General features: G+C 47.3%; 1 long non-coding RNA gene and 1 pseudogene across 1 annotated transcript, besides 6 other annotated features; both read left to right on the top strand.

The window, feature by feature from the left end:
* Positions 296-1,135: an enhancer, noted in NCBI's record as "H3K27ac-H3K4me1 hESC enhancer chr4:3935095-3935934 (GRCh37/hg19 assembly coordinates)". NCBI's record gives its function as "activates a minimal SCP1, AML or CMV promoter by ChIP-STARR-seq in naive H9 embryonic stem cells {active_cell/tissue: H9 hESC(naive)}" and the evidence as "EXISTENCE:reporter gene assay evidence [ECO:0000049][PMID:30033119]".
* On the top strand, positions 927-13,120 carry LOC124900652 (uncharacterized). The gene is made up of 3 exons (XR_007057998.1): positions 927-4,961; positions 10,236-10,432; positions 12,721-13,120. It is a non-coding gene; the product is annotated as an uncharacterized LOC124900652 (long non-coding RNA).
* Positions 1,136-1,977: an enhancer, noted in NCBI's record as "OCT4-NANOG-H3K27ac-H3K4me1 hESC enhancer chr4:3934253-3935094 (GRCh37/hg19 assembly coordinates)". NCBI's record gives its function as "activates a minimal SCP1, AML or CMV promoter by ChIP-STARR-seq in naive and primed H9 embryonic stem cells {active_cell/tissue: H9 hESC(naive and primed)}" and the evidence as "EXISTENCE:reporter gene assay evidence [ECO:0000049][PMID:30033119]".
* Positions 4,798-5,635: an enhancer, noted in NCBI's record as "H3K27ac hESC enhancer chr4:3930595-3931432 (GRCh37/hg19 assembly coordinates)". NCBI's record gives its function as "activates a minimal SCP1, AML or CMV promoter by ChIP-STARR-seq in naive H9 embryonic stem cells {active_cell/tissue: H9 hESC(naive)}" and the evidence as "EXISTENCE:reporter gene assay evidence [ECO:0000049][PMID:30033119]".
* Positions 6,474-7,311: an enhancer, noted in NCBI's record as "OCT4-NANOG-H3K27ac-H3K4me1 hESC enhancer chr4:3928919-3929756 (GRCh37/hg19 assembly coordinates)". NCBI's record gives its function as "activates a minimal SCP1, AML or CMV promoter by ChIP-STARR-seq in primed H9 embryonic stem cells {active_cell/tissue: H9 hESC(primed)}" and the evidence as "EXISTENCE:reporter gene assay evidence [ECO:0000049][PMID:30033119]".
* Positions 7,312-8,149: an enhancer, noted in NCBI's record as "NANOG-H3K27ac-H3K4me1 hESC enhancer chr4:3928081-3928918 (GRCh37/hg19 assembly coordinates)". NCBI's record gives its function as "activates a minimal SCP1, AML or CMV promoter by ChIP-STARR-seq in naive H9 embryonic stem cells {active_cell/tissue: H9 hESC(naive)}" and the evidence as "EXISTENCE:reporter gene assay evidence [ECO:0000049][PMID:30033119]".
* Positions 8,150-8,987: an enhancer, noted in NCBI's record as "NANOG-H3K27ac-H3K4me1 hESC enhancer chr4:3927243-3928080 (GRCh37/hg19 assembly coordinates)". NCBI's record gives its function as "activates a minimal SCP1, AML or CMV promoter by ChIP-STARR-seq in naive H9 embryonic stem cells {active_cell/tissue: H9 hESC(naive)}" and the evidence as "EXISTENCE:reporter gene assay evidence [ECO:0000049][PMID:30033119]".
* On the top strand, positions 10,229-12,871 carry EVA1CP2 (EVA1C pseudogene 2; annotated as a pseudogene).
* Positions 13,121-16,448: the final 3,328 nt, after the last annotated feature.

The raw sequence follows: 16,448 nt of genomic DNA, 5'->3' as shown, positions 1-16,448 counted from the left end.
TGTGAGAAATGAGCATTATCTCACAATATCTGCATTTTAGTGAACATGAAGGAAGGGTGTATTTGCTGGAATTACAGAAGCCTGAGAACCACAGGGGAATTCTCACTGCAGGGTATTCAGGGTCAAAGGCTCATTCTATTTTGTATGCTCAATCCTTCCTCAATTTATTTTTATTTCTTTCTTTATTTTTTGAGACAGGGTCTCACTCTGTCGCCCAGGCTGGAGCGCCTTGGTGCAATCTCAGCTCACTGCAACCTCGCCTCCCGGGTTCAAGTGATTCTCCTGCCTCAGACTCCGGAGTAGCTGGGATTTCAGGCACCCAACACAAACCCCAGCTAATTTTTGTATTTTTAGTAGAGATGGGATTTCACCATGTTGGCCAGGCTGGTCTCGAACTCCTGACCTCAGGTGATCCACCCACCTCAGCCTCCCAAAGTGTTGGGATTACACACGTGAGCCACCACACCTGGCCGGGCCTAGGTTTTTGAAGAAGGAATTGAACTGAGTGTAGGCCAGGTTGTACTGCTGAAGGTCTTGATGTAAACGGTCTGTTGGAGGTCAAGTTCTGTTTAGCGGGGGTAGACTATGTGACAAAGTGAAGAAAGGTAATGGTCTAAACGCAGCAAAAGTTTCATTCCCACTCACGTGACAGTCTGTGGAGCAGGCAGCTCCTCTCCTCATGAACCTGGGACCCAGGTATCTTCCATCTTGTGGCTCTGCTTCTCCAGAGCCTTGTCATTTTTTTCATCTAGCTATGGTGACAAGATCTTTTGGATAAGCCATGAATATTAAACCAAAGGCAAACTCTGAAAATTGATTTGACGTGTGGTCAGCTGCTCATTTAGCACAGTCCGGGGAATGCTGGGGTGACAGACAAGAAGGTTTTCATGAGGAGGTTGAAGAGATCTAAGTATAGGGGTGCCAGCCTGGGCACTTCAGAAGGGGCACTGGCCTAGGGGTAGAAGCAGGGTGACCCTGATTTCCCTGGGGTAGGGTGTGGCTCACGACGGGGTGCTGAGAACCCACCAAGAAGGCTGGAACTTTCAGTACTCATTGTTTTATGAGGGCCTGCCTGTGTGCCAGGCGGGAAGCACTGACCAGAGGCCCAGGGCAACTGAAGGGTCTCAGCCTGGTCTCTTGGTGCCTGGGGGGTACACTGTACAAGCGATGATGTAGTTCCAAGGGGCAGGACTCTGACCCACACTCCTGGTGCCAATGTCCATTTTGCTACTCATGTTAGATTTTGCTTCTTTAAGTGAACCTACTCAGGATAGCTGGGTTCTTGGCCATTCTTCCAGTGGTTTTCAAGGGTGAAAAAAGGAGTTTCAGCAAGACAGCTAACGTCTGGATGAGTGAGCCAGGAAGGGTCTGTAACCTTCCTCTAGAGAGCACTCTGGGCTGGTGGGCGCGAGGACTCCAGTTTCATGCACGTCCGTGTGAAGAGACCACCAAACAGGCTTTGTGTGAGCAATAAAGCTGTTTATTTCACATGGGGGCAGGCAGGCTGAGTCTGAAAAGAGAGTCAGTGAAGGGAGATAGGGGTGGGGCCGTTTTATAGGATTTCGGTAGGTAAAGGAAAATTACAGTTAAAGGGGGGTTGTTCTCTGGCGGGCAGAGTAGGGATCACAATGTACTCAGTGGGGGAGGTTTTGAGCCAGGATGAGCCAGGAGAAGGAATTTCACAAGACAATGTCATCAGTTAAGGCAGGAACAGGCCATTTTCACTTCTTTTGTGGTGGAATGTCATCAGTTAAGGCAGGAACCGGCCATCTGGATGTGTACGTGCAGGTCACAGGGGATATGATGGCTTAGCTTGGGCTCAGAGGCCTGACGTTCCTGTCTTCTTATATTAACAAGAAAAATAAAACAAAATAGTGGTAAAGTGTTGGGATGGTGAAAATTTTTTGGGGGTGGTATGGAGAGACAATGGGCGATGTTTCTCAGGGCTGCTTCGAGCGGGATTAGGGGCGGCGTGGGAACCTAGAGTGGGAGAGATTAAGCTGAAGGAAGATTTTGTGGTAAGGGGTGATATTGTAGGGTTGTTAGAAGAAACATTTGTCATTTAGAATTATTGGTGATGTCCTGGATACAGTTTTGTATGAATTGAAAAACTAAATGGAAGAAGAGAAGGAGAAAAACAGATATTAAAGGTCTAAGAATTGGGAGGACCTAGGACATCTAATTAGAGAGTGCCTAAGGAGGTTCAGCATAGTCCTGTCAGCAGAGATTGTTTATTTACTTCAAGAGTTAAGAGTGGCAGTTTGGGGATAGCACCAGGAGATATCAGCTGTGATGACTTGGAGAAACAGTGTAAACCGGCAGTGTAAACAAGAGAAGGGCATGTATGAGTAGTTGAGAACGGCAAATAGGAGTTTGACTAGACAGAAGATAGTAGGGATGACAAGTTTTTTGGGGCACAGTCTAAGTTGGTCTGGTGTCTGGAATGACACTGGGGCCAATAAAAAGGAGCGTCTTTACAGGAGCTCAAATGGGCTGTATTTTGTAGCATTCTGAGGACAGCTCTGACTTCTGAGAAGGGAAAGTGGTAAAAGTGTTGTACAGTCCTTTTTAAGTTGGAGGCTGAGCTTAGTGAGGTGTGTTTTTAAAAGACCATTAGTCTGTTCTACTTTTCCTGAAGACTGAGGACTGTAAGGGATATAAAGATTTCACTGAATACTAAGAGCCTGAAAAACTGCTTGGCTGATTTGACTAATAAAGGCTGGTCTGTTGTCAGACTGTATAGAGGTGGGAAGGCTAAACTGAGGAATTATGTCTGACAGAAGGGAAGAAATGACTGTGGTGGCCTTCTCAGACCCTGTAGGAAAGGCCTGTACTTATCCAGTGAAAGTGTCTACTTAGATTAAGAGGTACTTTAGTTATCTGACTCGGGGTACGTTGAGTAAAACTAATTTGCCAGTCCTGGGTGCGGGCAAATCCCTGAGCTTGATGTGTAGGGAAGGGAGGGAGCCTGAATAATCCCTGAGGAGTAGTAGAATAGCAGATGGAACACTGAGAAGTTATTTCCTTGAGGATAGATTTCCACGATGGAAAGAAAATGAGAGGTTCTAAGAGGAGGGCTAGTGGCTTGTACTATAGCATAGCCTGCCTTTGCTGGTGTGTGGTGATTAGGCCTGGTGGAGCTGCCGTCAATAAATCAAGAGTGATCAGGTTGAGGAACAGGAAAGAAGGAAATATGGGGAAATGAGGTGAATGTCAGTTGGATCAGAGAGATACAGTCATGGGGGTCAGGTGTAGTATCAGGAATAATGTGGGAGGCCGGACTGAAGTCCGGGCCAGGAACAATGGTAATTGTGGGACTTAACAAAGAGTGAGTACAGCTGAAGGAGCCGGGGAGCAGACAGTAAGTGCATCAGGTGTGAGGAAGAAAATAGATTTTGGAAGTTATGAGAAATGTAGAGAGTGAGTTGTGCATAGTTTGTGATTTTGAGGGCCTCTAAAAGTATTAGGGCGGCAGCAGCCGCTGCACAGAGACGTGAGGGCTAGGCTAAAACAGTAAGGTCAAGCTATTTGGACAGAAAGGCTACAGGGTGCGGTCCTGGCTCTTGTGTAAGAATTCTGACCACGCTAACCATGCCTAGGAAGGAAAGGAGTTGTCGTTTTGTAAGGGATTGAGGTTTGGGAGATTAATCAGACACGATCAGCAGGGAGAGCACGTGTGTTTTTATGAGAATTATGCTGAGATAGGTAACAGATGAGGATGAAATTTGGGCTTGACTGAAGTAATGGGGGCTGTCTGTGAAGCTTTGCGGCAGTACAGCCCAGGTAATCTGCTGAGCCTGATGGGTGTCAGGGTCAGTCCAAGTGAAAGTGAAGAGAGGCTGGGATGACAGGAGCAAAGGAATAGTAAAGATACCAAGTTTGAGATCCAGAACAGAATAATGGGTTGTTGAGGGAGGTATTGAGGATAGGAGAGTATGTGTGTTTGGCACCATGGGGTGGATAGGCAAAACAATTTTGTTGATAAGAGGCAAATCCTGAACTAACTTGTAAGGCTTGTCTGGTTTTAGGACAGGTAAAATGGGAGAATTGTAAGGAGAGTTTATAGGCTTTAAAAGGCCATGCTGTAGCAGGCGAGTGATAACAGGCTTTAATCCTTTCAAAGCATGCTGTGGGATGGGATATTGGCGTTGAGTGGGGTAAGGGTGATTAGGTTTTAATCAGATGGTAAGGGGTGCATGATAGGTCAACAAGGAGGGAGTAGAGGTATCCTATACTTGCGGATTAAGGTGGGGAGATACAAGAGGAGGATGTGAAGGGGGCTTTGAACTGGGGGAAAAGGTCACAATGCGGTGTGGCTGTAGCCCAGGAATAGTCAGGGAAGCAGATAATTTAGTTAAAGTGTTTCGGCCTAATAAGGGAACTGGGCAGGTGGGGATAACTAAAAAGGAGTGCTTAAAAGAGTTTTGTCTAAGTTGGCACAAGACTTGGGGAGTTTTAAGAGGTTTAGAAGCCTGGCCGTCAATACCCACAACAGTTATGGAGGCAAGGGAAACAGGCCCTTGAAAAGAAGGTAATGTGGAGTGGGGAGCCTCCGTATTGATTAAGAAGGGGATGAACTTACTTTCCACTGTGAGAGTTACCTAAAGCTCGGCGTCCGTGATGGTCTACGGGGCTTCCGAGGCAATAAGGCAGCGTCAGTCTTCAGCCGCTAAGCCGAGAAGGGATCAGTCAGAGAGGCTTGGGCCAGAGTTCCAGGGGCTCTGGGAGTGGCTGCCAGGTGAGTTGGACAGTCCGATTTCCAGTGGAGTCCCGCACAGATGGGACGCGGCTTAGGAGGAATCCTGGGCTGCAGGCATTCCTTGGCCTGGTAGTCAGATTTCTGGCACTTGTAGCAAGCTCCTGGGGGAGAAGGTTCTGGAGTAACGCCTGGCCACTGCGGTTCAGGCATTTGGAAGTTCTTGTGTGCTGGAGATGTGGCTGGGGTTTGTCTCACAGTGGAGGTAAGGAATTACAGCTTTTTTTCTATTATTGTACACCTTGAAGGCGAGGTTAATTAAATACTGTTGTGGGGTTTGAGGGCCAGAATTTAATTTTTGGAGTTTTATTTAATGTAGGGAGCAGATTGGGAAATAAAATGTATATTGAGAATAACATGGCCTTTTGACTTTTTAGGGTCTAGGGCTGTAAAGTGTCTCAGGGTTGCTGCTGAACGAGCCATGAACTGGGCTGGATTTTTATATTTGATGAAAAAGAGGCTAAATGCTATCTGATTTAGGATAAAGAAAAAAGAGCATTAACCTCGACTATGTCTTTAGCTCCAGGCAACTTTTCAAGAGTAAATTGCTGGGCAGGTGGGGGAGGGCTAGTCATGGAATGAAACTGTAGACCAGACCGGGTGTGAGGAGGGGAGGTGATAAAAGGATTGTAGGGTGGAGGAGTGGAGGCTGAGGAAGAATTGGGACCTAGCTCAGCCTGGCGAGGAGCAGCCTGGGGAGGAGGGGAGAGGTCAGATGGGTCTGTAGAAAAGGAAGATTAGAAAGACTCAGCGATGCTTGGGTTTGGGACTGAGGGGACAGGTGGGAGGGAAAGGAGGAAGATTTGGGATGAGTTGCTTTGGGCACAGAGACTAGGAAGGGACCGATGTGTAAAAGAATGCCTGGACGTCAGGCACCTCAGACCATTTGCCTATTTTACGACAAGAATTATTTAGATCTTGCAGGATGGAAAAATTGAAAGTGCCATTTTCTGGCTATTTGGAACTACTGTTGAGTTTGTTTTGGGGTCAAGCAGCATTGCAGAAGAAATAAGATGCTTAGATTTTAGGTCAGGTGAGAGTTGAAGAGGTTTTAAGTTCTTAAAAACACAGGCTAAGGGAGAAGAAGGAGGAATGGAGGGTGGAAGGTTGCCCATAGTGAAGGAAGGAAGCCCAGAAAAAAGAGAGAGTAGAGACATGGAGGGAAGCGGTTCGGGGGTTCTTACCCTCCAGAAAAGTGGGAAAGGGGTCGGGATGCAGAGATACAAGGTCCAGGCATGGAAATAAGAGATCGGGGTACAGAGATATAAGAGGTCAGGGTGCGGAAATAAGGGATTGGGGTGCAGAGATAAGAGGTAGGGGCTTGGAAATAAGGGATTGGGGTGTAGAGATACGAGATTGGGGTACTTGTGCCTCCCCCAGAAAAGCAGAGAAGGGGTAGAGACATGGAGAGAAGGGGTTGGGGTACTTACCCCTCCCCCAGAAAAGCGGGACTTGCCGCTAAGGGTGAAGGACCAAGGCAGGCATCCCTGCGTGGTCTGACACCTTTGAAACATGGGGGAATATTCAGAGAGGCATCCCTGTAATGATTAAACACCAAGGGAAGGCTGCCTTCCCAGTCCATGACCAGCGCCGGAGTTTTGGGTCCACGGATATAACGTGTCTCCTTTGTCTCTACCAGAAAATGAAAGGAATTGAAATCAAGAGAAGGGAGAGATTGAAGAGTGGAAAGGAGAAAGTGGTTGAGGGACAGTGAGACAGGTTGGAGAAGAGTGTAAGAAGAGGCTGCTTACCAGATTTAAAATTGGTGAGATGTTCCTTGGGCTGGTGGGTCTGAGGACCTGAGGTTGTAGGTGGATCGTTTTCACGGAGCAAACAACAGGAGGACATGGGATTGATCTCCCAAGGGAGGTCTCTGATCCGAGTCATGGCACCATGCGTGTCTGTGTGAAGAGACGACCAAACAGGCTTTGTGTGAGCAACATGGCTGTTTATTTCACCTGGGTGCAGGTGGGCTGAGTCTGAAAAGAGGGTCAGCAAAGGGAGATGGGGTGGGGCCGTTTTATAGGATTTGGGTAGGTAAAGGAAAATTACAGTCAAAGGAGGGTTGTTCTCTGGCAGGCAGAGTGGGGGTCACAAGCTACTCAGTGGGGGAGGTTTTGAGCCAGGATGAGCCAGGAGAAGGAATTTCACAAGACAATGTCATCAGTTAAGGCAGGAACAGACCATTTTCACTTCTTTTGTGGTGGAATGTCGTCAGTTAAGGCAGGAACGGGCCATCTGGATGTGTACCTGCAGGTCACAGGGGATATGATGGCTTAGCTTGAGCTCAGAGGCCTGACACCCAGGGCAGGCTGGCTCAGCCCCTTTGACTTCAGATTTCAGAGAAGGCCAGGGAGCTGGATTGGGTGCCTAGATTTTCTGAGAATTATGTTTCTGAGAGGATTTTGAAACCTAAACAGGAATACTTTACACACAGGTCATCAAGCAGGAACTGGGAAGTTCCAAAGCTGCCCTCCTTCACGCCACCTCCTCCCTTCAGAGGCCAAGGGCGGCCAAGCTGTCTCCCACACACCTCAGTGAAAAGTCACTGGCTCTCCTCCCAGCCACGTCGCTGTGACCTCGTGAGGTGTGAGAAGGAGGAAGGGGATCTATGTTCTTGATGAACCTTCCTTCCTCCTTGCCGAGAAATAATTTAGGCCCCTGCGCCTGCTGGGCCTCAGACCTTCTCAGAGCCCAGGGCCCACTGTGGCTCCTGCAAGCTGCCTGGGAATTCCACGGAGGCTGCCTGGCTGCCTGTCTTATTCCCAGTCTGCTGCAACCCATTCCCTAAGCTTGGGTGGCTGAAAACAACAGAAATTCATCCTCTCACAGTTCTGGAGGCCATAGTCTGAATCCAGGTGTTGGCAGGGCTGTGCTGCCTTTGAAGATTCTAGGGAAGAATCCTGCCTGACTTTTTCCAGTTTTGGGTGGTGGCCGGCAATGCGCAGCATTCCTTGGCTTCAGGTGCATCATTCCAGCTGCACACGGCTGTCTTCCCTCTGTGTCTCTTCTTTTCTTCTTATAAGGATACCAGTCATATGGTGTGAAGGGCCCACCTTACTCCAGTATGTCGCCAAGTTAATTTGTTACATCTGCAACCACCCAATTTCCAAATGTCACATTCTGAGGTTCCTGACTGAAGGGGTGGGTTGCCCCTCCACACCTGTGGGCGTTTCTCGTTATGTGGAATGAGAGACCTGGAAAAGAAAGAGACACAGAGACAAAGTATAGAGAAAGAAAATAGGGCCCAGGGGAAGGGCGTTCAGCATACGGAGGACCCCTGCCGGTACCGGCCTCTGAGTTCCCTTAGTATTTATTGATCATTATCGGGTGTTTCCCGGAGAGGGGGATTTGGCAGGACAATAGGGTAATAGCGGAGAGAAGGTCAGTAGGAAAACACGTGAACAAAGCTCTCTGCATCTTAAACAAGGTAAAGAATTAAGTGCTGTGCTTTTGATGTGCATACACATAAACATCTTAATCCATTAAAGAGCAGTATTGCTGCCAGCATGTCCCACCTCCAGCCCTAAGGTGGTTTTCCCTTATCTCAGTAGATGGAATATACAATCGGTCTTGACACCAAGAGGTTCCATTGCCCAGGGACAAGCAGGAGACAGATGCCTTCCTTTTATCTCAACTGCAAAGAGGCCTTCCTCTTTCACTAATCCTCCCCAGCACAGACCCTTTACGGGTGTCCGGCTGGGGGACATTCAGGTCTTTCCCTTCCTAGGAGGCCATATATCAGGCTATCACATGGGGAGAAACCTTGGACAATACCTGGCTTTCCCAGGCAGAGGTCCCTGTGGCCTTCTGCAGCGTTTTGTGTCTCTGGGTACTTGAGATTAGGGAGTGGTGATGACTCTTAACAAGCATGCTGCCTTCAAGCATTTGTTTAATAAAGCACACCCTGCACAGCCCTTAATCCATTTAACCCTGAGTTGACACAGCACATGTCTCAGGGAGCACAGGGTTGGGGGTAGGGTTACAGATTAACAGCATCTCAAGGCAGAAGAATTTTTCTTAGCACAGAACAAAATGGAGTCTCTTATGTCTACTTTCTACACAGACACAGTAACAATCTGATCTCTCTTTCTTTTCCCCACACTGATGAACGTGAATTTGAGGGGACACCATTCAACCCACAGCAGAGCCCCACCATCACCTCTCTGCACAGGGCACCTGCCTGTCTTTCCTTGCCAGCACCAAGACAGAGCCAAGAGTGATTTCTTGAAATGAAACTGCATCCTCTCATCTCAATAAGGCATGGCCTCCCTAGTGGGAGATGAGCAAATGAAAGCCTCCCTCAGGATGGTCATCCACACGTCCATGGGACACTCACCCCAATTTTTTTTCCTGGTTTATAAAGGTGCTTCAGGACCTCTTGGCTCCTGGCCAATACGTTAGTGCTTCCTGAAGGGGAAAGAGCCCTCCAAACCATTCATTGGGCCATCCCAGACCAAGGTTTCTGACCCAAACATTGAAACAGGAGGAGTTCCCTTATCCCCCTTGCAGGGCATGATACAGGGGCATGGCTCACTTCTCAGTACCCTGTTGCTCAAACCCCTAGAGGGAGCGTGCAGATGGGCAGGTCGTGGGGAGCGTTTCTGGGCTCTGGCCCCACAGCAGCGTGTGGAATTGGGTGTTTACAGCTCCTGAAGCCCCAGTGGGCATGTGTTACAGTGGTATCCTTCAGTTTTGCCATCTGCAGGCGGCATGTGTTAATCAGCTCAGTTAGGCCCTCTGCCTTATCACAAAGACAGAGGGCTTTCTGTATCACGGGTTCTTGCCCTAGTGTACTTGAAAAATCAGATCGCATGTGGACTTGGAGAATGAATGCAAGATTTTATTGAGTGGAGGAGGTGGCTCTCAGATGGATGGGGAGCCAGAAGGGGGATGGAGTGGGAAGGTGGTCTTCCCCTAGAGTCGGGCTGCCTAGCAGCCAGACTCTCCTCCAACCGCCCCCAAGTGAATTCCACATCTCCCCACTGTCAAAAGCCTGCCAGCATCTGCTGATGTCCATCAGTGTGCTCTTCTGCTTCTCTGCTCCTCTGGATGTCCAGCCACTTGTGTCTGTGCCCACTAGGGTCTTGGGTTTTTTATGGGCACAGGATGGGGGTCATAGCAGGCCAGAGTATTCTTGGAAAATGCAACATTTGGACATGAAAACAGGAGTGCCTGTTCTCACTAAGGTGCAAGGGCACAAGCCCGAGGGTGGAGCGCTTGCCAGGGACCCCACCCTTCTCTAACCAGCATTCCCTTGCCCCCCTTCCATATCAACATGAAAGCTGACATTGGCTCCTGTGCCCCACCTCTGGGCCTGGTTTGGTGACCTCTGCACCAGAGCTTCTAGGGAGGCCCTACCCCACATGTTGTTAACTCAACAACCCTTCCCCAGGGGAACCAACGTCCTCCTGTCCCCAAACCCAAGGAGGGGTGGTGGGTTCCTGGGCCTCTTGTAACCCGACTGAATATTTTCCAGGTTACCTAACCAAACTCCTGTAAAACCACACCACCTATGCCTGTGATGGGGACTATCTGAATCTACAGTGCCCTCGGCATTCTACAATAAGTGTCCAATCGGCATTTTATGGACAAGATTACCCAATGTGTAGTTCCCAGAAGCCTGCCTGCCAGAGGGAAGACAGCTTAACTTGTGTGGCACCCACCACCTTCCAGGTATTGCCTTTTATAGACACGTTAAGATGATACAGTTTCAACAGACACTCTTTCTCTCTCTCTGGGTGTAAATATATTTGTGATTATATAGTTTAATCCAAGCAAAACTGATCCATGAAAAATCCCAACTTATACAGATCACCAGATTTGTAGGTGAGCTATTATTTGCTTCTCAAAGGATTTGTTACCCAACAAAACTAAATAGAATTCCTACCTATTGTAGAGCCCCCTTTGTACACTTCAATATGAATTTATTTGTAGGTTTACTCCTTACTTCAGTATAGCAAAGTACAACCAGGATAGATTCCAACCTCCAGGCCCATATCTCCCATAAATACTCCTGTAGAAAGAGAAGGTGGGTTCTTTAATGGAAACCACAAGTATCTCTTTGAGGCAGACATCTGAACTCATGACCAACTTCTTAGAAAATGTACTCAAAGGGCCAGGCGCAGTGGCTCATGCCTGTAATCCCAGCACTTTGGGAGGCCAAGGCAGGTGGATCACAAGGTCAGGAGATTCAGACCATCCTGGCTCACATGGTGAAACGCTGTCTCTACTAAAAATACAAAAAATTAGCCGGGTGTGGTGGTGGGCACCTGTAGTCCCAGCTACTCCAGAGGCTGAGGCAGGAGAATGGCATGAACCCGGGAGGTGGAGCTTGCAGTAAGCAGAGATCGAGCCACTGCACTGCAGCCTGGGCAACAGAGCAAGACTCCGTCTCAAAAAAAAAAAAATCAAATCATTATTAAACATTTTTGCTAATTAAATGGTTTTGGAGTACATTCTTTTAAAAAAACAATTAACTATGTTTTCTTCAACACTGCACACGTAACGCCAACTTTGCATGACATTGCAAAGAAAGATTTTACTATATTAAGCAGATTAAACAAACAAACTTTTCCTTGAATTCTTTAGGAACAAAGTACAACCTGGTCCAAATCATCCTAACCTAGAATGCACCATCAGCTTGACAGTCAGTTGTTCCTGGATTTACCAGATTTGGGGCAGACTTTTCATGCTTCTCTAAAGAGGGATTCTTAACTGACACCGTGCCTTGTTTTTGCCCTTTTCCTAGGAAAGGAAATGATTTTATTTGGTATCATATCATCTTTCTTGCTTTTTTTTTTTTTAATTAGAGATGAGGCCTTGCTACATTTCCCAGGCTGGTCTCCAAATTCTGGGCTCAGCAATCCTCCTGTCTCAGCCTCCCTCCCAAAATGCCGGGATTACGCGTGTGAGCCACTGTGCCTGGCCTCTTTCTTGTCTTTTAAACAAATAAATGTAAGCTGGCATGGTGTGCATTCATATATTCCCAGGTACTTGAGAAGCCGAGGCGAGAGGATCCCTTGTGCCTAGGTTTGAGCCCAAGAGTTCAAGGCTGCAGTGAACTATGATTGCACCACTGCACTCTAGCCTGGGTAACAGAGTGAAAGCCTGTCTCTAAAAAACTAAACTAATGCTTGGCGCGGTGGCTCACTGCTGTAATCCCAGCACTTTGGGAGGCCGAGGCGGGCAGATCACGAGGTCAGGAGATCGAGACCATCCTGGCTAACATGGTGAAACCCCATCTCTACTAAAAATACAAAAAAAATTAGCCAGGTGTGGTGGCATATGCCTGTAATCCCAGCTACTCGGGAGGCTGAGGCAGGAGAATCGCTTGAACCCGGGAGGCGGAGGTTGCGGTCAGCCGAGATGGTGCCATTGCACTCCAGCCTGGGCAACAAGAGTGAAACTCCATCTCAAAAAAAAAAACTAAGCTAAACTAACATAATAAATAATTCGTACACACAAGGGGATGCCAGCTGAGGGGCTGGAGGTGAGGTTTAACTGGGCTCTCTCCAGAGAGAGAAAGAAGCTTAATGCTTCTTTCAAGTAATTTCTGGTCTGTCTTTACCTATGTGGATCCCAAGCCAACATTTGAGAAAAGGCCCCCTTCAGTGAAGGAATGTGTGACCTTAAGTGCTGAGCGAGAGAAACTTGCTTTCTAGCCAGGCCCTTCCTGGGACCTAACTCCATGTGTCTGCCTCCTTAACGCCAGCACCTCTCCTCCATTTGCCCCTTAGTATCATTCCCAGGGTCTTTGCCCTTGTCAACAGGTTGCTTCCCACCTGCTTCCTGCATAGGGCTTTGTTTTCTGGGGTCAGAGACAGCATGAGCCCACAGGGCCATCCCCACTGCCCCCTTCTCAGGGTGCAGCCCTGGGGAAATGAGCAGTGGGACTTGGACACAGCTCATCAATTCCTTCTGGGGGAAGCTGATGGTGCCTTCAATTTTTGTTTCTGCTTCAGATGAATTAAAAAACAAAACCGTGTGTGAAGACAAGGAGCTGAAACTGCACTGCCATGAATCCAAGTTCCTCAACATCTACTCTGTGACCTATGGCAGGAGGATCCAGGAAAGGGACATGTGCTCCTCCAAGGCAGAGCGGCTCCCCCCCTTTTCAGTTTGTGCTTTTGTATGGGTATTAGCCGGGGTTCTCTAGAGGGACTGAACTAATAGGATATATAATGGGATATATATATATGATTGTGGAAGTCAATACTTAATAACACAATCACAATCTTGTGATCGTGAATGTTAATACTTAATAAACTCCCATATGTGTGTGTGTGTGTGTGTGTGTGTGTGTGTGTGTGTATAAATGCTTGTAAACAGTAATCTGCCAAAAATAAATAAGTAAAACAACAAGAACTGGCCGGGCACAGTGGCTCATGCCTATAATCCTAGGACTTTGGGAAGCTGAGGCGGGTGGATCACGAGGTCAGGAGTTCAAGACCAGCCTGGCCAACATGGTGAAATCCCGTCTCTACTTATAATACAAAATTATCTGGGTATGGTATCGCATGCCTGTAATCCCAGCTACTTGGGAGGCTGTGACAAGAAGAATCACTTGAACCTGGTAGGCAGAGTTGGCAGTCAGCTGAGATCTCACCAATGCACTCCACCTTGGGTGAGAAGAGTGAAACTCTGTCTCAAAAAAGAAAAAGAAAAAAAAAAGACACGGTCCTGTTTTCATGGGGTGAACAGTTGAGGGAGAAAGGCAAGCATTAACCAAATAGGCAGACACATCATCATGCCCTATTGTGACAAATGCTATTTTAGAAAAGGGAAGAAGACTATAGCAGTGGAGGGGGCCTAATTTAGCTTGGGGGTGGTGGTTTAAGTCTTCCAAAGAGAACCATCCTGTAGGGTGAACACTAGGGTATGCACACTAGCTGCACTCTAGGGGCTGAGACGCTGAGATTGCTGAGTGGGAGAGGAAAGGTGTTGATGAGGAGGAAGATGGCCCTGGTTTAAACTGCTGAGAACAGGGTGCTGCACACAGTAGGAGCGCCATGAAGAGTGGTCCCCAGTGTTCTCACCAACATATCTGAAGTGGAGCAGGACGGTGATCAATCACACCCCTGTCCCCGACCTCATTCTGAACCCGTTTGAAACGAGCAGATGCAAAAATCTGACAAGTGTGTTGACAACGGTGATTTTAAAGGTCCTAAGAGATTCTCTGGATTTCAGAACCAATTTCCCATAGTAGAGGGGCACATTCCCTGCAGTGGCCTGTGTCATACACAGCCAATTTCACCTTTTCACTGCCTGGTTATTCTGCAAAGTGCATCCTAGAATGACCTTCCTCTCTGAGCTCCTCTTCAAAATTCTGATTCTTTCTCAAACTGTAAAGCCTCTGGCATTTGCCAAGAGCCAAGGCCCTCCTGAAGCCACAGTTTGAGAACAGCCAAGAGGCAGACATGAGAAAGAAGTCCCACCCCTGGCAGGGAGAGCTGACACTTCCCGGGCTACTGCATCCTTCTCAGGGCCCAGAAATGAATGAGAGGTAATTAAAGCAGAAAGCATTTTGCAGCAGCTCCGCTCAGCTCTCCGAAGCTGCCATGGTCCCAGGATCAGTGGTGTGCCCTGAGGACAGCCAAGGGACATTCCTCGAGGCCCTAGAAATCATCAGCCACCTCCAGCAACTTCACCGGGCCTCCCTGGGAAGTCTCCCTTGCTGCTGATGGGCACGAAGGCACCAGGGCCTCCTGTACATGGAAAACTCACAATCTAGGAATGTCCTGTGGTTGTTGATCCTGGGACATCCCCAGAAGAATTTAGTTAAGCCCTCCAAGAAAGGAAACAAGGTTTTCTTGCTGCTGAAGATGTCTCACTTGTTCTTTTTTAAAAAAGCAGTGCAATTGAATTTGCAGTTTGTTTTTGCTTTCTTTCCATTTCCTGTTGCTACATCTCCAAGATCTCAGCTGCGCTGAGGAACAAACAAAAATAAGCAATTTTATGCAGGAGGAATATTCGGTTTCCACTCCCTTCTCCCAGCCTGCGGCAGTGCTTGGCCTGCAGAATTCTTGCTCTGCCCTCTGTTTCAGCGGGTGTTGTCATCTGCCAGCTGCTTTGCCTGGGGGTTCTGACATCTCAGGGCTTATTCTTAGCGTCAGTCTCAGCAGAGTCTTAAACCACGTTCAAAGGATTCGGTCCCGCTGCCATCCTCTCTGCATCTTTCTGTAGTTCTTTCTGATAATATTTAGCAAATCACTTTAACACAGAGTCTTCGAATTCTTTCCAGATTTACGATGGAAACACAGAGGCAAAGAGCTTGGGGTAGAAAGCAGAAGAGCAGGTGCTGGAAGAGTTTAATGGTGGATTTTGAGTTGGTCACAGTCATTTTGCTTTACTAAGTCCAGGGAAGCTCATCTTCAGAGTTAACCACTGTGTGTGTGTGTGTGTGTGTGTGTGTGTGTGTGTGTGTGTATATATATATATATCACACACACACTGTGATATATATATATATATACACACACACTGGTATATATATATATATTTATATATAACCACTGTGTGTGTGTATATATATGTATATATATGTGTGTATATATATGTGTGTATATATGTGTGTGTGTGTATATATATATACACATATATATACACACACATATATATATATACACATATATATATGTATATTTTTGAGATGGAGTCTTGCTCTGTCACCCAGGCTGGAGTGCAGTGGCACACTCTCAGCTCGCTGCAACCTCCACTTCCTGGGTTCAAGTGAGCACGTCCGGCTAATTTTTGTATTTTTTAGTAGAGACAGGGTTTCACCATGTTGGCCAGGCTGGTCTTGAACTCCTGACTCAAGTGATCCACCTGCCTCAGCCTCCCAAAGTGCTAGGATTACAGACGTGAGTCACCATGCCCGGCCCAGAGTTAACCACTCTATTCAGGTGTTGTTTATTTTTCTTAAAATTCTATTACACGTGAATAAAATTCAATGCTTTTTAGTAAATTTAGAGTTGTGCAACCATCACTACCCTCCAGTTTTAAAACATTTTTACAATCCCCCGAAGCTCCCTTATGCCCATTTGCCATCACTGCCCCATTCCCAACACCCCGGTCCCAGGTAACCACGCATCTACTTTCTCTCTAGATTTGCCTTTTCTGAATATTTCATACAAATGGAATTATGCAATGGATGTTTTGTGTGTGTGTGCACGGCTGACTTCTTTAACTGAATGTAATGTTTCAGAGGTTCATCCATGTTGTAGCATGTATCATATCAGTACTTCACTTTTTTTTTTTTTTGGAGTTGAAGTCTCACGCTGTCACCCAGGCTGGGATGCAGTGGTGCGATCTTCGCTCACTGCAACGTCTGCCTCCCAGGTTCAAGCAATTCTCCCTGCCTCAGCCACCCAAGTAGCTGGGATTACAGCCGTGTGCCACCACGCCCAGCTAACTTTGTATTTTTAGTACAGACAGGGTTTCAAATATGTTGGCCAGGCTGGTCTCGAACTCCTGACCTCAAGTAATCTGTCCACCTCGAACTCCAAAAGTGCTGGGATTACAGGTGTAAGCCACCATGCCGAGTCTTCATTCCTTTTTATTACTGAGGTGTATTCTGCTGGATGGATATATCATATCTTGTTTTTATTCTCCATTTTTTAAATATTGCAAAATTGGCCTAAAACCACCTCTCTGGAGCATTTGATGATCACGTGGATACCATTGGGTTGTG

Source organism: Homo sapiens, chromosome 4, assembly GCF_000001405.40.
Source record: "Homo sapiens chromosome 4, GRCh38.p14 Primary Assembly".
NCBI classification, from domain to species: domain Eukaryota; kingdom Metazoa; phylum Chordata; class Mammalia; order Primates; family Hominidae; genus Homo; species Homo sapiens.
This window is presented reverse-complemented; position numbering and strand designations above follow the sequence as displayed.